We start from the raw sequence: 15,344 nt of genomic DNA, 5'->3' as shown, positions 1-15,344 counted from the left end.
GGTTCCAATATTCAACTAAACAACTGCCACGGAAGAACAGTAGGCAGAAAGGACAGTAATGTAAATGAAGCACTTTTAGCTGGCTGTCATTAACAAATCACTGATCTAACAAAAGACAAGAGTTAAAACTCTGACATAACCTCTTTTTTGTACAATATATATTTGGTGTAAAGAAAAACCTGTGGTTAAGAAGATTGTTAGCTTACAACAGGGAAAACAAAAGAGTCCCCGAAGAACTAACACTGTTCTGTCAGGTGTATACCAAATGGCAAGTCTGTAATAAACAGTCTGATATTCCCTTAAGATACACAAACCTCCTTTATCAGGAATCCCTGTGTACAAACTAATTATTTAGTATGAGTTAGAAAATTCTATCTAAGTACATTAGAATTGAGTACTTTTGTTGATACGAAATTATTACTACCTTGGCTAGTTTCATATGGTTCAGCTTTTCTTTTCCGATTTCGCTGGTCATTCTGCTTTTTCTCGGGAGTCTGTCAAATACCATATAAGTCACAATTAGCATTTTGGTAAATTTTTCACGTTAGGAAAAACAGCGAGTATACACAAAATATTGAATATATAAACAGATATAACTGGCCCAGACAAGTCCTGAATCACTGTCTTCCTCTTAAAACTGAGTATAACAAAGAGTATTAGGGTCTAGAACCAAACCATCCACACAATTTTTGGCAAACTGCTTAAAATATCAGAGCTTGAGTTTATTCATCTGTAAATCAGAGCTGCTACAAAACCTTCATAAGATATTTAATAGAGCACAAATGTAGGACAAATGTCCACCATATGTTAAGTTCTCAGAAAACTGTTGTTACACTACTTCTACTTTAAATCCAATCTTTTTTCCAAAAAGGAGAGATCTGCAAAGTACAAAGTAGGTGGCTACAGACTTACACTTAGACCCATCTACAGGCAGCTAGGTTATATGCCAAATAAAAAAAAAAAATCTCATGCATGAGGGCTGTGAATAGTTAAGCAAATGAACAAAAAGTCTTCGCCAGGCACTGTGGCTCATGTCTGTAATCCCAGCACTTTGGAGGCTGAGGTGGGAGGATGGCTTGGGTTCCAGACCAGCCTGGGCAACATAGCAAGGCCCCGCCTCTAAAAATATTTTTAAAAATTAGCCAGGCACGGTGGCACCTAGCTACTCAGGAGGCTGAGACAGGAGGACTGCTTGAGTTCAGGAGTGTCAGGTTACAATGAGCTATGATTGCACCACTGCACTCTGACCTGCATGACAGAGCGAGGCCATGTCTCGAAAAAAGTTGTAAAAATAAAATCAGTCAATCAATTTTATCTTCCATTTAAACAGGAACAATATTGCAAATTTCTATCCTTTACTGATGGCAACTATGCAAAAATTTTAAGACATGTAAGATCCACACATGATTATAATAAAAACCCGTGAGGGCCACATCATAACTGTACGTATGCAAAGAGCACACAGCTCAAAGGGGAGCAATTTACACAGAGTCTAACAGCACCCAGGGAGTTAATTAAGCAGTGCTATCTTTTCTGTGAGATGGGGGTCTCACTCTGTCGCCCAGGATGGAGTGCAGTGGTGCCATCACAGCTCACTGCAGCCTCATTCTCCCGGGTGCAAACGATCCTCCGACCTCCAAGTAGCTGGGGCCACAGGTGTGTACCACCACACCCTGCTAAGTTTTTTTGTAGAAACGAGTTCTCACTATGTTGCCCAGGCTGGTCTCCAACTCCCAGCCTCAAGCAATCTGCCCGCCTCAGCCTCCCAAAGTGCTGGGATTACAGCCTTGAGCCACCAAACCTGGCCCAAACGTACAAGTATGAAAAGTCCTGCCATGAACATAGCTTCTTACCTCTACTTCTTTATCACTCAAGGATCCGACGCTGCACAAGCTCTGGTTGGAAGACTCACTATTAAGTGGTCCCTGAAAGAAAAAAAAATCATAAATAAATAAATTTTAATCCTAAGAGGATAGCAAAACTGAAGAAGAAGCCTGATGATTTTTTTTTTTTTTTTTTTTAGACAGAGTTTCACTGTTATCACCCCGGCTGGAATACAATGGCGTGATCTCGGCTCACTGCAACCTCTGCCTCCTGGGTTCAAGTGATTCTCCCACCTCAGCCTCTCGAGTAGCTGGGATTACAGGTGCCCACCACCACGCCCAGCTGATTTTTGTATTTTTAGTAGAGATGGGGTTTCACCATGTTGGCCAGGCTGGTCTCGATCTCCTGACCTCAGGTGATCTGCCTGTCTCGACCTCCCAAAGTGCTGGGATTACAGTTGTGAGCCACCGCACCCATCCCTGAGGGCTTTCTTTATTCCTGGGAAGAATGCGACTTCAGTGTTTCTCATCCTGCCCTGACTTCTGTTGCTGAGGCTGTCTCAGGCAAGTACTCTCAGAGGCAGGGGCTCCCTTCTTCTGCTCAATCCCTACTTGTGGAAAAGGGGCTCTTTCATAGGCATGACACACTGAGAATACTGGGAATCCAACGACCCTCTCTCCCAGCTCATGGGACAGTGGTTCCACAACAGGAGAGACAAGCCAAGAGGACCCCAGGCTGCTGACCTGCCCCATACCCTCCTAGAGCTGGGGTAGCATTCACAGAAAAGCTTGCTATTGTCCCCACCTAGTCTACCACTAGAACCCTGGCTCAGATACTTTGCCTAAGGGAAGAAGCAGGAACACAGAGTATCTCAAAGGACCTAACTTCACTTGCAAGAGTGTGACAAGTTTCAGTCTAAGGGTGTTCCCAAAAACAATAGGGGTTGTGGTACTACGCAAGTGGAAAGAGGTTCCTGGATGTAATGAAGATACAGCCTAGACTGTAGACTGGCTAGTTTGTAGGAGAGACCCAGGGCATAAAACAGCCACAAGGAGCCTTCGTTTTATAACTAATGACTAGTTCAGCAAGGTTGTAGAATACAAGACTGATAGACAAAAATCCATTTTTTTATACTTGCAATTGAACAATCTGAAAATGAAGAAAATAATTCCATACACAGTAGCATCAAGAGGAAGAAATAATTTTATATTATAAACAATAATAATTTATTATTGTTTCGCCATGTTGGCCAGGCTGGTCTCGAACTCCTGACCTCAGGTGATCCACCCGCCTCCGCCTCCCGAAGTGCTGAGATTAAAGACGTGAGCCACCGCACCCGGCCCCAGCTGACTTCTTTGTAGAAATTGGTAGGCAAATTCTAACATGCATATGGAATTGCTAGGAACCAATCCTGAAAAAGCAGGAAGGCTCATACTTCATCACCTAAAAACAAAGCCACAGTAATCAAGACAGTACAGTACTAGCATAAGGTTAGATCAATGGAATAGAATTGAGAGTCCAGGAATAAATCCATAATTGTGGTCAAATGATTTTTGACAAGGGTGCCAACACAATTCAACGAGGGAAAGAATAGTCTTTTCAGCAAATGGTGCCAGGAGTAGATAGCCACAGGCAAAACAATGAAGTTGTACCCTTCCTTCACATCAACATAAAAATTAACTCAAAACAGGCTGGGAGCAGTGGCTCACTCCTATAATCCCAGCACTCTGGGAGGCCAAGGTGGGTGGATCCCTTGAGCTCAGGAGTTAGAGACCAGCCTGGCCAACATGGTGAAACCCCATCTCTACCAAAAATACAAAAAATTAGCGAGGCATGGTGGTGTGCACCTGTGGTCCCAGCTACTTGGAGGCTGAGGTGGGCAGATCGCTTGAGCCCGAGAAGTAGAGGTTGCAATGAGCCAAGATCGCGCCACTGCACATTGCACTCCAGCCTGGGTGACAGAGCCAAGACCTTGTCTCAAAACAAAACAGTTATGAGTAAAATAAAAACATGTTTATTACTTAATTTTAAAAGCAATTTTTCCTATTTTTATGTTACTGCTGATATACAGAAATTATTAATTTTCATGGTTTTTATTTAGCCAGTCACTTTACTGAATTGTTCTTCTTAATCATTTTCAGTCTTTTCCTTTCTTTCTTTTTTTTTTGGAGACGGAGTCTCGCTCTGTAGCCCAGGCTGGAGTGCAAAGGTGTGATATCAGCTCACTGCAACCCCTGCCTCCCAGATTCAAGCAATTCTTCCGCCTCAGCCTCCCACGTAGCTGGGATTACAAGCACACACCACCACACCTGGCTAATTTTTTTGTATTTTTAGTAGAGAAGGGGTTTCACCATGTTGGCCATGCTGGTCTGGAACTCCTGCCTTCAAGTGATCCGCCCACCTCAGACTCCCAAAGTGCTGAGATTATAGCCATGAGCCACTGCACCAGGCCCAGTTTGTTCCTTTCCATTTAGTTGTCTAGGTATAAAATCATAGCATTTGTAAATAACAAGGTTTTATCTTCCTTTCTATAATTTATACCTCTTATTTGTTTTACATTTTACTGCACTGAATAAAACATGAAATAATAATCATAGAAAACATTTTTCCGTTCTTCATTTTCATGGTAACACCTCTAATGCTTTACCATTAAAAACTATATTAACCCATTTATGCCCGAGGTTGCAAATTTTTTCTGTGAAAAATCAGACCTTGGTGATGACCTTGAACAGTAGGATATCAATAACTGCCACAAGCTTAGCAACCCAATAATGAAACACTAAGCATAAATGGGCTAAAACCCCAAACGGACAAAACAATCTTGAAAAAGAACTAAGTTGGAGGTCCCACACTTCCTGATTTCAAAACTTACTACATGCCGGACGCAATGGCTCACGCCTGTAATCCCAGCACTTTGGGAGGTCGAGACAGGCGGATCACCTGAGGTCAGGAGTTCAAGACCAGCCTGGCCAACACGGTGAAATCCCATCTATACTAAAATTACAAAACATAGTCGGGCGGGATGGTGCACACCAATAGTCCCAGCTAGTCGGGAGACTGAGGCAGGACAGTCGCTTGAACCTGGGAGGTGAAGGTTGCAGTGAGCTGAGATTGTATCACTGTATTCCGGCCTGGGCAACAAAGTGAGACTCCATCTCAAAAAATAATAATAATAATTAATTTTAAAAAATTCGGCCGGCGTGGTGGCTCACGCCTGTAATCCCAGCACTTTGGGAGGCCGAGGCGGGCGGATCACAATGTCAGGAGATCGAGACCACGGTGAAACCCCGTCTCTACTAAAAATACAAAAAATTAGCTGGGTGCAGTGGCGGGCGCCTGTAGTCCCAGCTACTTGGGAGGCTGAGGCAGAAGAATGGCGTGAACCCGGAAGGTGGAGCTTGCAGTGAGCTGAGATCGCGCCACTGCACTCCAGCCTGGGCAACAGAGCGAGACTCCGTCTCAAAATAAATAAATAAATCAATAAAAAATAAAAAATTACAAAGCTATAGTAATCAAAACATCGTGGTATTGGCATTAAAGACAGACAGATATCAATGGAAAAGAATGGACCGCCAGAAGGAAATCCTCACATACATGGTCAAATGATTTTTGATAAGGTGCCAAGGCTATTCAATGGTGAAAGTCAATTTTTTCAAAACCTGGTGCTGGAGGCTGGCATGGTGGCTCACGCCTGTAATCCCAGCACTTTGGGAGGGTGAGGCAGGCGGATCACTTGAGGTCAGGAGTTTGAGACCAGTCTGGCCAACATGGCGAACCCAACCTCTACTAAAAATACAAAAATTAGCTGGGCATGGTGACACACGCCTGTAATCCCAGCTACTCGGGTGGCTGAGGCACGAGAATCACTTGAACCTGCAAGGTGGAGGTTGCAGTGAGCTGAGATTACTGCCAGCGCACTCCAGCCTGGACAACAGAGTGAGACGGTCTCAAAAAATGGTGCTGGAGAAACTGGATATGTACATGCAAATGAAATGAAAGTTGGACCATTACCACATGCAAAAATTAACTCAAAACACATCAAAGACCTAAACATAAGAACTAAAACTAGCTTTCCAGCCCCGGCCCCGGACCCTGCAGCTGCAGAGATGTTGATGCCTAAGAAGAACTGGATTGCCATTTATGAACTCCTTTTTAAGGAGGGAGTCATGGTGGCCAAGAAGGATGTCCACATGCCTAAGCACCCGGAGCTGGCAGACAAGAATGTGCCCAACCTTCATGTCATGAAGGCCATGCAGTCTCTCAAGTGCCGAGGCTACGTGAAAGAACACTTTGCCTGGAGACATTTCTACTGGTACCTTACCAATGAGTGTATCCAGTATCTCCGTGATTACCTTCATCTGCCCCCGGAGATTGTGCCTGCCACCCTACGCCGTAGCCGTCCAGAGACTGGCAGGCCTCGGCCTAAAGGTCTGTATATGAGGAGTGCTGTGCTACCTGGTGCCGACAAGAAAGCCGAGGCTGGGGCTGGGTCAGCAACCGAATTCTAGTTTAGAGGCGGATTTGGTTGTGGACGTGGTCAGCCACCTCAGTAAAACTGGAGAGGATTCTTTTGCATTGAATAAATTTACAGCCAAAAAAAAAAAAAAAAGAACTAAAACTATAATCAACTCTTAGAAGAAAACAGGGAGAGCCGGGCGCGGTGACTCATGCCTGTAATCCCAGCACTTTGGGAGGCCGAGGTGAGCGGATCACCTGAGTTCAGGAGTTTGAGACCAGCCTGGCCAACATGATGAAATTCCATCTCTACTAAAACTACAAAAATTAGCTGGGCGTGGTGGCGGGCGCCTGTAATTCCAGCTACTTGGGAGGCTGAGGCAGGAGAATCACTTGAACCCGGGAGGAGGAGTTTGCAGTGAGCTGAAATCGCGCCACTGCACTCCAGCCTGGGCTACAGAGACTCCATCTCAAAAAAAAGAAGAAGAAAACAGGGAGAAAGTGTTACAGCGTTGAATTTAGCAATGATTTCTCGAATGTGACACCAAAAGCAGAGATAAAAACAGTAAAAATACATAAAATAGACATCAAAATTTAAAATCTGTGCATTAAACAACACAATCAACAGAATAAAAAGGAAACCCATGGAATGGGAGAAAATGCTTGCAATTTACATATATGGTAAGGCATTAATAACCCAAATATATGAATAACTGCTACAACTCAACAACAACAAAATAAACAACCCAATGAAAAAATGGGCAAAGGACTTGAACAGATATTTCTCCAAAGATATAAAAATGGCCAACGACCACATGAAAAGATGCTCAAAATCACTAATTTTAGGAAACTGCAACTCACAAAAAGACACCGCCTCACATCCATTGAGGTGACCACTACCAAGAAAACAAAAAACCAACCAACCCTACAAAATAACAAGTATTAGTGAGGATCTGGAGTAACTGGAATACTTGCACACTGTTGATGGGAATATAAAATGGCATAGCCACTATGGAAAACTATGGCAGTTCCTCAAAAACGGAATTATCGTATGATACAACAATTCCATTTCTGGGAATATACTCAAAAGAGTTGAAAGCAGGGCCTCAAAGAGATAGCTGTGCAACCATGTTCACGGCAGTATTATTCACAATAGCCAAAAGGTGCAAGCAACTCAAATATCCATCAACATATGAATGGATAAACAAAATGTGGTGTATACATGAAATTCTACATTCTACAACATGGATAAGCCCTGAGAACATTATGCTAAGTGAATAAGCCAGTCACAAGAAGACAAATACTTTGTGATAGATGAGGCACCTATAATAGTTAAATTCATAGAGTCAGAAAGTAGAATGGTAGCTGCCAGGGGTTGGGGAGGAAGGTAGAGATGAGGAGTTGTTTAATGGGCATTTCAGTTTTCATTTTCCTAGGCAAAAAAAGTTCTGGAAATTGGATGCAAACAATATGAATGTATTTACTACTGAACTGTACACTTAAAAATGGTTAAGATGGTGGGCCGGGCACGGTGGCTCAGGGCTGGGCGCGGTGGCTCACGCCTGTAAGCCCAGCACTTTGGGAGGCTGAGGCAGGTGGATCACGTGAGGCCAGGAGTTTGAGAGAAGCATGGCCAACATGGCGAAACCCCATCTCTACTAAAAATACAAAAATTAGCTGGGTGTGGTGGCGGGCGCTTGTAATCCCAGCTACTCAGGAAGCTGAGGCAGGAGAATGGTTTGAAGCTGGGAGGCAGAGGTTGCATTGATCCAAGATCGCGCCACTGCACTCCAGCCTGGGCAACAAGAGCAAAACTCCATCTCAAAAAAAAAAAAAAAAGAAGGTTAAGATGGTAAATTTTATGTTATGTGTATTTTACCACAATTAAAAAGTTTTTGAAACTGTATTGTTTTTAAAATTACAAAGTAGGAATGACTATTGAGTTTATCCAAATTTTTTTTTTTTAATTATTATTGACTGGGCATGGTGGCTCACACCTGTAAGCCCAGAACTGTGGGCAGCTGAGGTGGTGGATCATTTGAGGTCAGGAGTTTGAGACCAGCCTGGCCAACATGGTGAAACCCCCATATCTACTAAAAATACAAAAATTAGCCAGGCATGGTAGCACACACCTATAGTCCCAGCTACTTGGGAGGCTGAGGCAGAAGAATCGCTTGAACCCAGGAGGTGGAGGTTGCAATAAGCTGAGATCGCACCACTGCACACCAGCCTGGGCAATAGAGCGAGACTCCATCTCAAAAAAAAAAAAATTATTATTTATTTGCTGTGTTGTAAAGTAATAACAATAATAACTAACACGTAGCACTTTTTTTAAACACAATCCTCAAAAGCTCACATAATGTAGCACTTTACAGGCAAGACATTCTATATTAGCACATTTAATCGTCACAGCTTATAAAAACAGACCCTTGGCCAGGCACGGTGGGCTCACACCTGTAATCCCAACACTTTGGGTGACTGAGGCGGGTGGATCACAAGGTCAGGAGTTCAAGACCAGCCTGGCCAAGATGGTGAAACTCTGTCTCTACTAAAAATACAAAAAATTAGCTGGACGTGGTGGCAGGTGCCTGTAATCCCAGCTACTCAGGAGGCTGAGGCAGAGAACTTCTTGAACCCAGGAGACGGAGGTTGCAGTGAGCCAAGATCGCACCACTGTACTCTAGCCTGGGTGACAGAGCCAGACTCCATCCCAAAAAACAAAACAAAACAAAAAAAACAGACCCACATAAATATATCCAACTGATTTTTTACAAAAGTATAAAAGCAATTTAATAGGGTTCACCCCTGTGATCCCAACACTTTGAGAGCATGAGGTGGGAGGATAGCTTGAGGATCACTTGAGCCCAGGAGTTTGAGACCAGCCTGGGCAACAAAGCGAGATCCCATCTGTACAAAAAAATGAAAAAGTTAGCCAGCCATGGTGGCACTGTCTGCAGTCCTAGCTCCTAGCTAATTAGAAGGCTCAGGCGGGAGCTCAGGAGTGCGAGTGCAAGGTTACAGTGAATTATGATCACACCACTGCACTCCAGCCTGGGCAACAGAATAAAAACCTGTCTCTTTAAAAAAAAAAAAAAAAAAAGGCAATTTAATAAATTACATAAATTGAAAAAAAGAGACTTTTAAATAAATGCTACTGGAACAACTAGATGCATAGGCAAAACAAACAAACAAAACAAAACAAAAAAACACCTTGCTTACACCTTATAAAATATTAACTCGGCCGGGTGTGGTGGCTCACACCTGTAATCCCAGCACTTTGGGAGGCCGACGCAGGTGGATCACCTGAGGTCTGGTGTTCAAGACCAGCCTGGCCAACATTGTGAAACCCCGTCTCTACTAAAAATACAAAAAGTTAGCTGGGCATGGTGGCGGGTGCCTGTAATCCCAGCTACCTGGGAGGCTGAGGCAGGAGAATCGCTTGAACCTGGGAGGCAGAGGTTGCAATGAGCTGAGATCGCACCATTGCACTCCAGCCCGGGCAACGAGAGCGAAACTTCGTCTCTAATAATAATAATAATAATAATAATAATAATAATTAATAAATTTTTAAAAGAGAAAAAAACAAAATAGATCAAGAACTTAAATGTAAAACATAAAACTGTTAGGAAAAAAGGGGAGAAAAATCTCTACAACTTAGAACTAAGCCAACAGTTCCTAGACTTGACACCAAAAGCTCTAATCCACAAAAGGAAACACTGATAAATGGAAGCTCATCAAAAGTACAGAGTAAGACCCTGTAAACAGGATGAGGAAACAAATTACTGACTGGAAGAAAATATTTTCAAGTCACACATCTACCAAGGAACTTGAGATTAGACTATCTAAAGAATTCCAATTAGAAAATTGGCAAAAAAATATGAATAGACATTTTACTAAAGAGGATGTAGGCCGGGGGCGGTGGCTCACCAGCACTTTGGGAGGCTGAGGCAGGCGGATTACCTGAGGTCAGGAGTTCGAGACCAGCCTGACCAACGTGGAGAAACCCCGTCTCTACTGAAAAATACAAAATTAGCCAGGCGTGGTGGTGCATGCCTGTAATCCCAGCTACTCGGGAGGCTGAGGCAGGAGAATTGCTTGAACCCAGGGGGCAGAGGTTGCAGTAAGCCGAGACCATGCCATTTGTACTCCAGCCTGGGCAATAAGAGCAAAACTCCATCTCAAAAAAAAAAAAAAAAAAAAAAAAAGGAGGGGTGATGTAAAGATGGCTAATGAGCACAAGAAAAGATGTTCAACACGTTAGCCTTTAGGGAAATAAAAGTTTAAACCACAATGAGATTTCATTACACACCTTTAAGAATGGTTAAAATAAAAAATAGCAACAACGCTAAACACTGTCAAGGATGTAGAGAAACTGAATCACTTACATATATTGCTAGTGAGAATGTAAAAAGGTAAAGCTTTTTTGACGGTTTCTTTTAAAACTAAAAATGCACTTAAAACTTATCATTTGACCCAGCAATTGTACTCTTGAACATTTATTCCAGAGAAAGAAAAACATGTTGGTGTAAAAACCTCTATAAGAATGTTCAGAGTAGCTTTGTTCATAATAGCCAAAAACTGGAAACAAACCAAATGTCCTCATGGAGGCAATGGTTAAGTAAAGTGTACTATATCCACACCATGGAACACTGCACAGCAATAAAAAGGAATGGCCTATTTATATATGCAAAATCTTGGAACTTCAAGGAAATTATGCCAAGTGAAAAAAGCCAATCTCAGAAAGCTGTAGGCTGGGTGCGGTGGCTCACACCTGTAATTCTAGCACTTTGGGAGACCAAGGCAGCAAGATTGCTTGAACCCAGGAATTCAAGACCAGCCTGGCCAATATAGTGAGACCCTGTCTCTACAAAAAATTTAAAAATTAGCTAGCGTGGTGGTGTGTACCTGTAGTCCCAGCTACTCTGGAGGCTGAGATGGGAGGATCACTTGAACCCAGGAGGCAGAGGCTGCAGTGAGCTAAGATTGCACCACTGCATTCCAGCCTGAGTGACAGGGTGAGACTCTGTCTCAAAATAAAAGGTTGTGTACTTTGTGACTCCATTTATATATATTAATTATGAAATAATGAAATTATAGAGGAAAATAGATCTGTAGTTGTCAAGAATTAAGTTTTCAAGGGAGAGTGAGTGGGTGTGGCTACAAACGCGTAGCAGGAAAGAGCCTTATGATGAAGTAGTTTCTGCAACTTGACTGTAGTGGTTACAAGCTACACATGTGATAAAATTGCCTAGAAGTGTAATACACACACACAAATGATTCATGTATAACTTGAAATGTGAATTAGTCCTATGGATTGTACCAATGTCAATTTTTTGGTTTTAATAACATACTAGAATTATACATGAGGAGAGATGCACGGTGCATGAACAGAACCTTCCTATACATTTTGTGCAACTTCCTGCCAATCTCTAATTACTCTGAAATAAAAAAGATTTTTCTAAAGTTTTTGGGGTTTTATGTATTACTTATTATTGTAAAGTAATAATAATGATAACCAACACTTAGGTAGCATTTGCTAGGGCCAGGTATATCAGGGCATTTAACCCTCATAACAACCTGTTATGAGCTGAACTGTGTCCTCCCAAAATTCCTATGTTGAAGCCCTAATCTCCAGTACTTTAGTGTATTTGGAGATAGAAGCGTAAATCCATTAAAACTGGTATTCTTATGAGAGGAGATCAGGACAAAGAATGAGAGAGAGCAAGTGAGCACGCACAGACATGTATGCACACAGAGGGACTACAATATGAGGCCACAGGAAGGAGGCAGACATCTGCAAGCCAAGGAGAAAGGCCTCAGAAGAAACCAAACCTGCTGACACCTTGCTATTGCACTTCTAGTCTTCAGAACTATAAGAAAATAAATTTCTGTTGTTTAAGCCACACAGTCTGTGGTATCTGTTATGGTTGCCCTACCTTGTGAGGTAGCTGCTCTTATTACTCACTTACAGATGAGGAAAGCATAAGAAGATCAGTAAACTCATTCAAGGTCACACAGTCATTAGGAAGCAAAGCCAAGATCTGAACCAAGGCTATCTGGTTCAAAAAAAGTACTTCTCACCATTAAGCCATACTTAGTCTGTAGGTGCTGTTATGACAGAATGCCTGAGACTGGGTAATTTTTTTTGAGACAGGGTCTCGCTCTGTCACCCAGGCTGGAGTGCAGTGTTCCAATCCTGGCTCACTGCAGTCTTGACCTCTGGGCTCAAGCAATCCTCCTGCCTCAGCCTCCCAAGTAGTTGGCATTACAGGCACATGCCACCACGTCTGGCTAATTTTTGTGTTTATGTAGAGACGGGGTTTCACCACTTTGCCCAGGCTGGTCTCGAATGGCTCAAGCAGTACACTCGCCTCTACCTCCGAAAGTGCTGGGATTACAGGCATGAGCCACTGCACCCAGCAGACTGGGTAATTTATGAAAAACAGAAATTTAATTTCTGACAGTTCTGGAGGCTGGGAAGTACAATACCAAGGCACCAGCAGGTTAGGTGTCTGGTGAGGGTCCAGGCTCTGCTTCCAAGATGGTGCCTTCAACACTGTGTCCTCCAGAGGGAAGGAATCCTACATCCTCACAAAGTAGAAGGCAGAAGGGCAAGAGGGGACGGACACTGTCCTCACATGGCAAGGTGTAAAAACAGACAAGGTTACGCCATCAAGCCTTTAAAAGGATACCTAGTCCCATTCATGAGAGGAGGAGCTCTCTTTACCTAATCACCTCTTAATACACTGGCAACACCTGAATTTTGGAAGGAACACATTCAAACCACAGCACTGACTCTAGAAATATTACTGAGTTTTTAAACACGAACTTGTTTGACATTCCTAGGATAACCTACTTGAAACAAAACAAAGGAATAATCTGCTGTAGCCATTTACTAGTATTTTTATTTTATTTTAAACATCTATACATTCACTTTTACTTTTTCATGTTTGTCATTTTGCTGTCAGAGTTGTTTACTTCTATCATATTATTCAACATGAGAAGTATCCGCTTCTTAAAGGTTAGGAGAGACCAGGAGTGGTGGCTCACACCTATAATCTCAACAATTTGGGAGGCTGAGGAGGGAAGATTACTTGACCCCAAGGGTTCCAGACCAGCTTGGGCAGCATAGCAAGATCCCATCTCTACAAAAAATTAGAAAATTACCCGGGTGTGGTGGCCCATGCCTGTGGTCCCAGCTACTTGGGAGGCTGAGGTAGGGGAACTGCCTGAGCCCAGGAGGTCGAGGCTGCAGTGAGCTATGTTTGTACCATTGCACTCTAGCCTGGGTGACAGAGCAAGACCCTGTCTCGAAAAATAAATAAATAAATAAATAAAATAAAAGGTTAGGAGAAATCACCAACACCTAGAGAGGAGGAAGTAGTTTTATAATCGCCTCAATTTTTTTCTTGGTTACAGGAGTCTATTCTGGTTTTGTTGTTGTTGTTGTTGAGATGGAGTCTCACTCTATTGCCCAGGCAGGAGTGCAGTGGTGCAATCTCGGCTCACTACAACCTCCACCTCCCGGGTTCAAGCGATTCTTGTGCCTCAGCCTCCCAAGTAGCTGGGATTACAAGCGCACACCACCACGCTTGGCTAATTTTTGTATTTTTAGTAAAGACAGGGTTTTACCATGTTGCCCAGGCTGGTCTCAAACTCCTGACTTCAGGTGATCCGCCTGCCCTCGGCCTCCCAAAGTGCTGCGATTACAGGCGTGAAACACCACGCCCGGCCCCTATTCTGATTTTTATGTCTTATTTCGTCAGTATTAATTCCTAGTATCTTTGAAATTATTTATTCATTGAGACTTTCATATAACTAACAACATTCACTTCCAGTATTTTCTTTTTGTAAGTCCTCAGTACCTTTTGTTATATCCGATGTACTCTCCTTCATTTTGCCTTTTGTTTCCTAATTTTCCAACTCTTGATTATTTCCCATTCTTCTGTTTTGCAATGTATTTATTTCTTCTTGCATATTTATTGTTTTTTCCTCCTCTTTTCTAGTTTTCCTAAAACCATAAATTGAATGGTAAATTCATACTCTTGTACATTAAATGCTTCTTTGTCCACATTATTTAAGTTTAACTATGTGGTATTTTATCTTATTTTCTTAGTAAAATAGTCTGTTACTTGTCATTTGCTATATAATAGCTATCTGGGAGAATGCTTACTAATATCCATATCACTTGGGAGGGAAAATTATCCTTTAAAAGAGCCACCCACAGACTCAAAAAAAAAAAAAAAAAAACTAGGAAATTTTTTTAATTTACTGGTTTAAATTTGTTAATTTCACAAATTTAAACAAATTTAACTAGTCTGATTTGTTAAATCAAAACTAATTTTGATAAGATCTCTCCATAAAAGTTATATTGTCTATGACAACATTTAAACTACCTCCCCTGTCTCCTGCTGATAATAATTTTCTAAGTAAAAAAATCAAATGGACAGTTTAGAAGATGAACAAGAGTCAAGTTTCTTGTTTTTAAAAGAGTACAGTTTGCAAAAATAAAACATGTTTCTAATATACTTAAAATGTACTTTTTTTTCTAGGGGGATCTTAAAAAATACTTTAGTTACAAGCCTAGAGAAAATTCTGTGGATAAATTATAAATCCATGAACACTGAGGTTAAGATGCAAATGTTGACTACCAGCCCTTTAGCACCACGAAGGAGGCTCATATAAACTAAGAAAAACTTGTAGAATAGAGGCCAAAGGTTAATCTTTCACTCCTGTAAAAGTTTAAATGTCAACATTTACTGAGTTTCTAAAGTTTTCATTTCCTCCTTAGACCAAATTGGCTGCTTAAAAGGGACTGAGAACAGAAGACAAAAGTTACGCCTGCCTAGGTATAAAGAAGCATAGCTGCCAACAAAGTCAAACTACCCCATACTCCAGTAAAGAAGATAACGCCATTTAAAAAAACTAAAGGTCTCTATGCTTTTTATTTTAGTCACTAGTAGTACTACCTTTTCATACCATACCAGAGTCAAAATAGCCATCAAAATAGTTTGACTCCCAGAGACCTTGCAGCATTCCTAGAAGTGAAACAGATGTGAAATCTG

General features: G+C 42.0%; 1 protein-coding gene and 1 pseudogene across 43 annotated transcripts in view, besides 1 other annotated feature; one reads left to right on the top strand and one right to left on the bottom strand.

The window, feature by feature from the left end:
• TLK2 (tousled like kinase 2) overlaps nt 1-15,344 on the bottom strand; it is a 144,568-nt gene that overhangs the window by 92,784 nt on the left and 36,440 nt on the right. For 38 of the 43 annotated variants that reach the window (XM_024450552.2, XM_024450553.2, XM_047435179.1 and 35 more), the window contains 2 exons: nt 1,854-1,925; nt 425-494 (listed from right to left, as the gene is read on the bottom strand). In XM_024450552.2, coding sequence (XP_024306320.1) covers nt 425-494; nt 1,854-1,925 — 142 coding nt within the window. Of the gene's footprint in view, nt 1-424; nt 495-1,853; nt 1,926-14,144; nt 14,291-15,248; nt 15,318-15,344 lie in introns of all 43 variants that reach the window. The other 5 variants (NM_001375273.1, NM_001330418.3, XM_011524227.3 and 2 more) reach the window with 2 other exon arrangements.
• RPS10P26 (ribosomal protein S10 pseudogene 26) lies at nt 5,894-6,423 on the top strand (annotated as a pseudogene).
• Nucleotides 11,363-11,563: a silencer, noted in NCBI's record as "peak2934 fragment used in MPRA reporter construct". NCBI's record gives its function as "represses an SCP1 promoter by STARR-seq MPRAs in K562 erythroleukemia cells {active_cell/tissue: K562}" and the evidence as "EXISTENCE:reporter gene assay evidence [ECO:0000049][PMID:32103011]".

Source organism: Homo sapiens, chromosome 17, assembly GCF_000001405.40.
Source record: "Homo sapiens chromosome 17, GRCh38.p14 Primary Assembly".
NCBI classification, from domain to species: Eukaryota; Metazoa; Chordata; class Mammalia; order Primates; family Hominidae; genus Homo; species Homo sapiens.
Note: the sequence above shows the minus strand (reverse complement) of the source record. Positions and strands in the feature narration are given on the sequence as shown.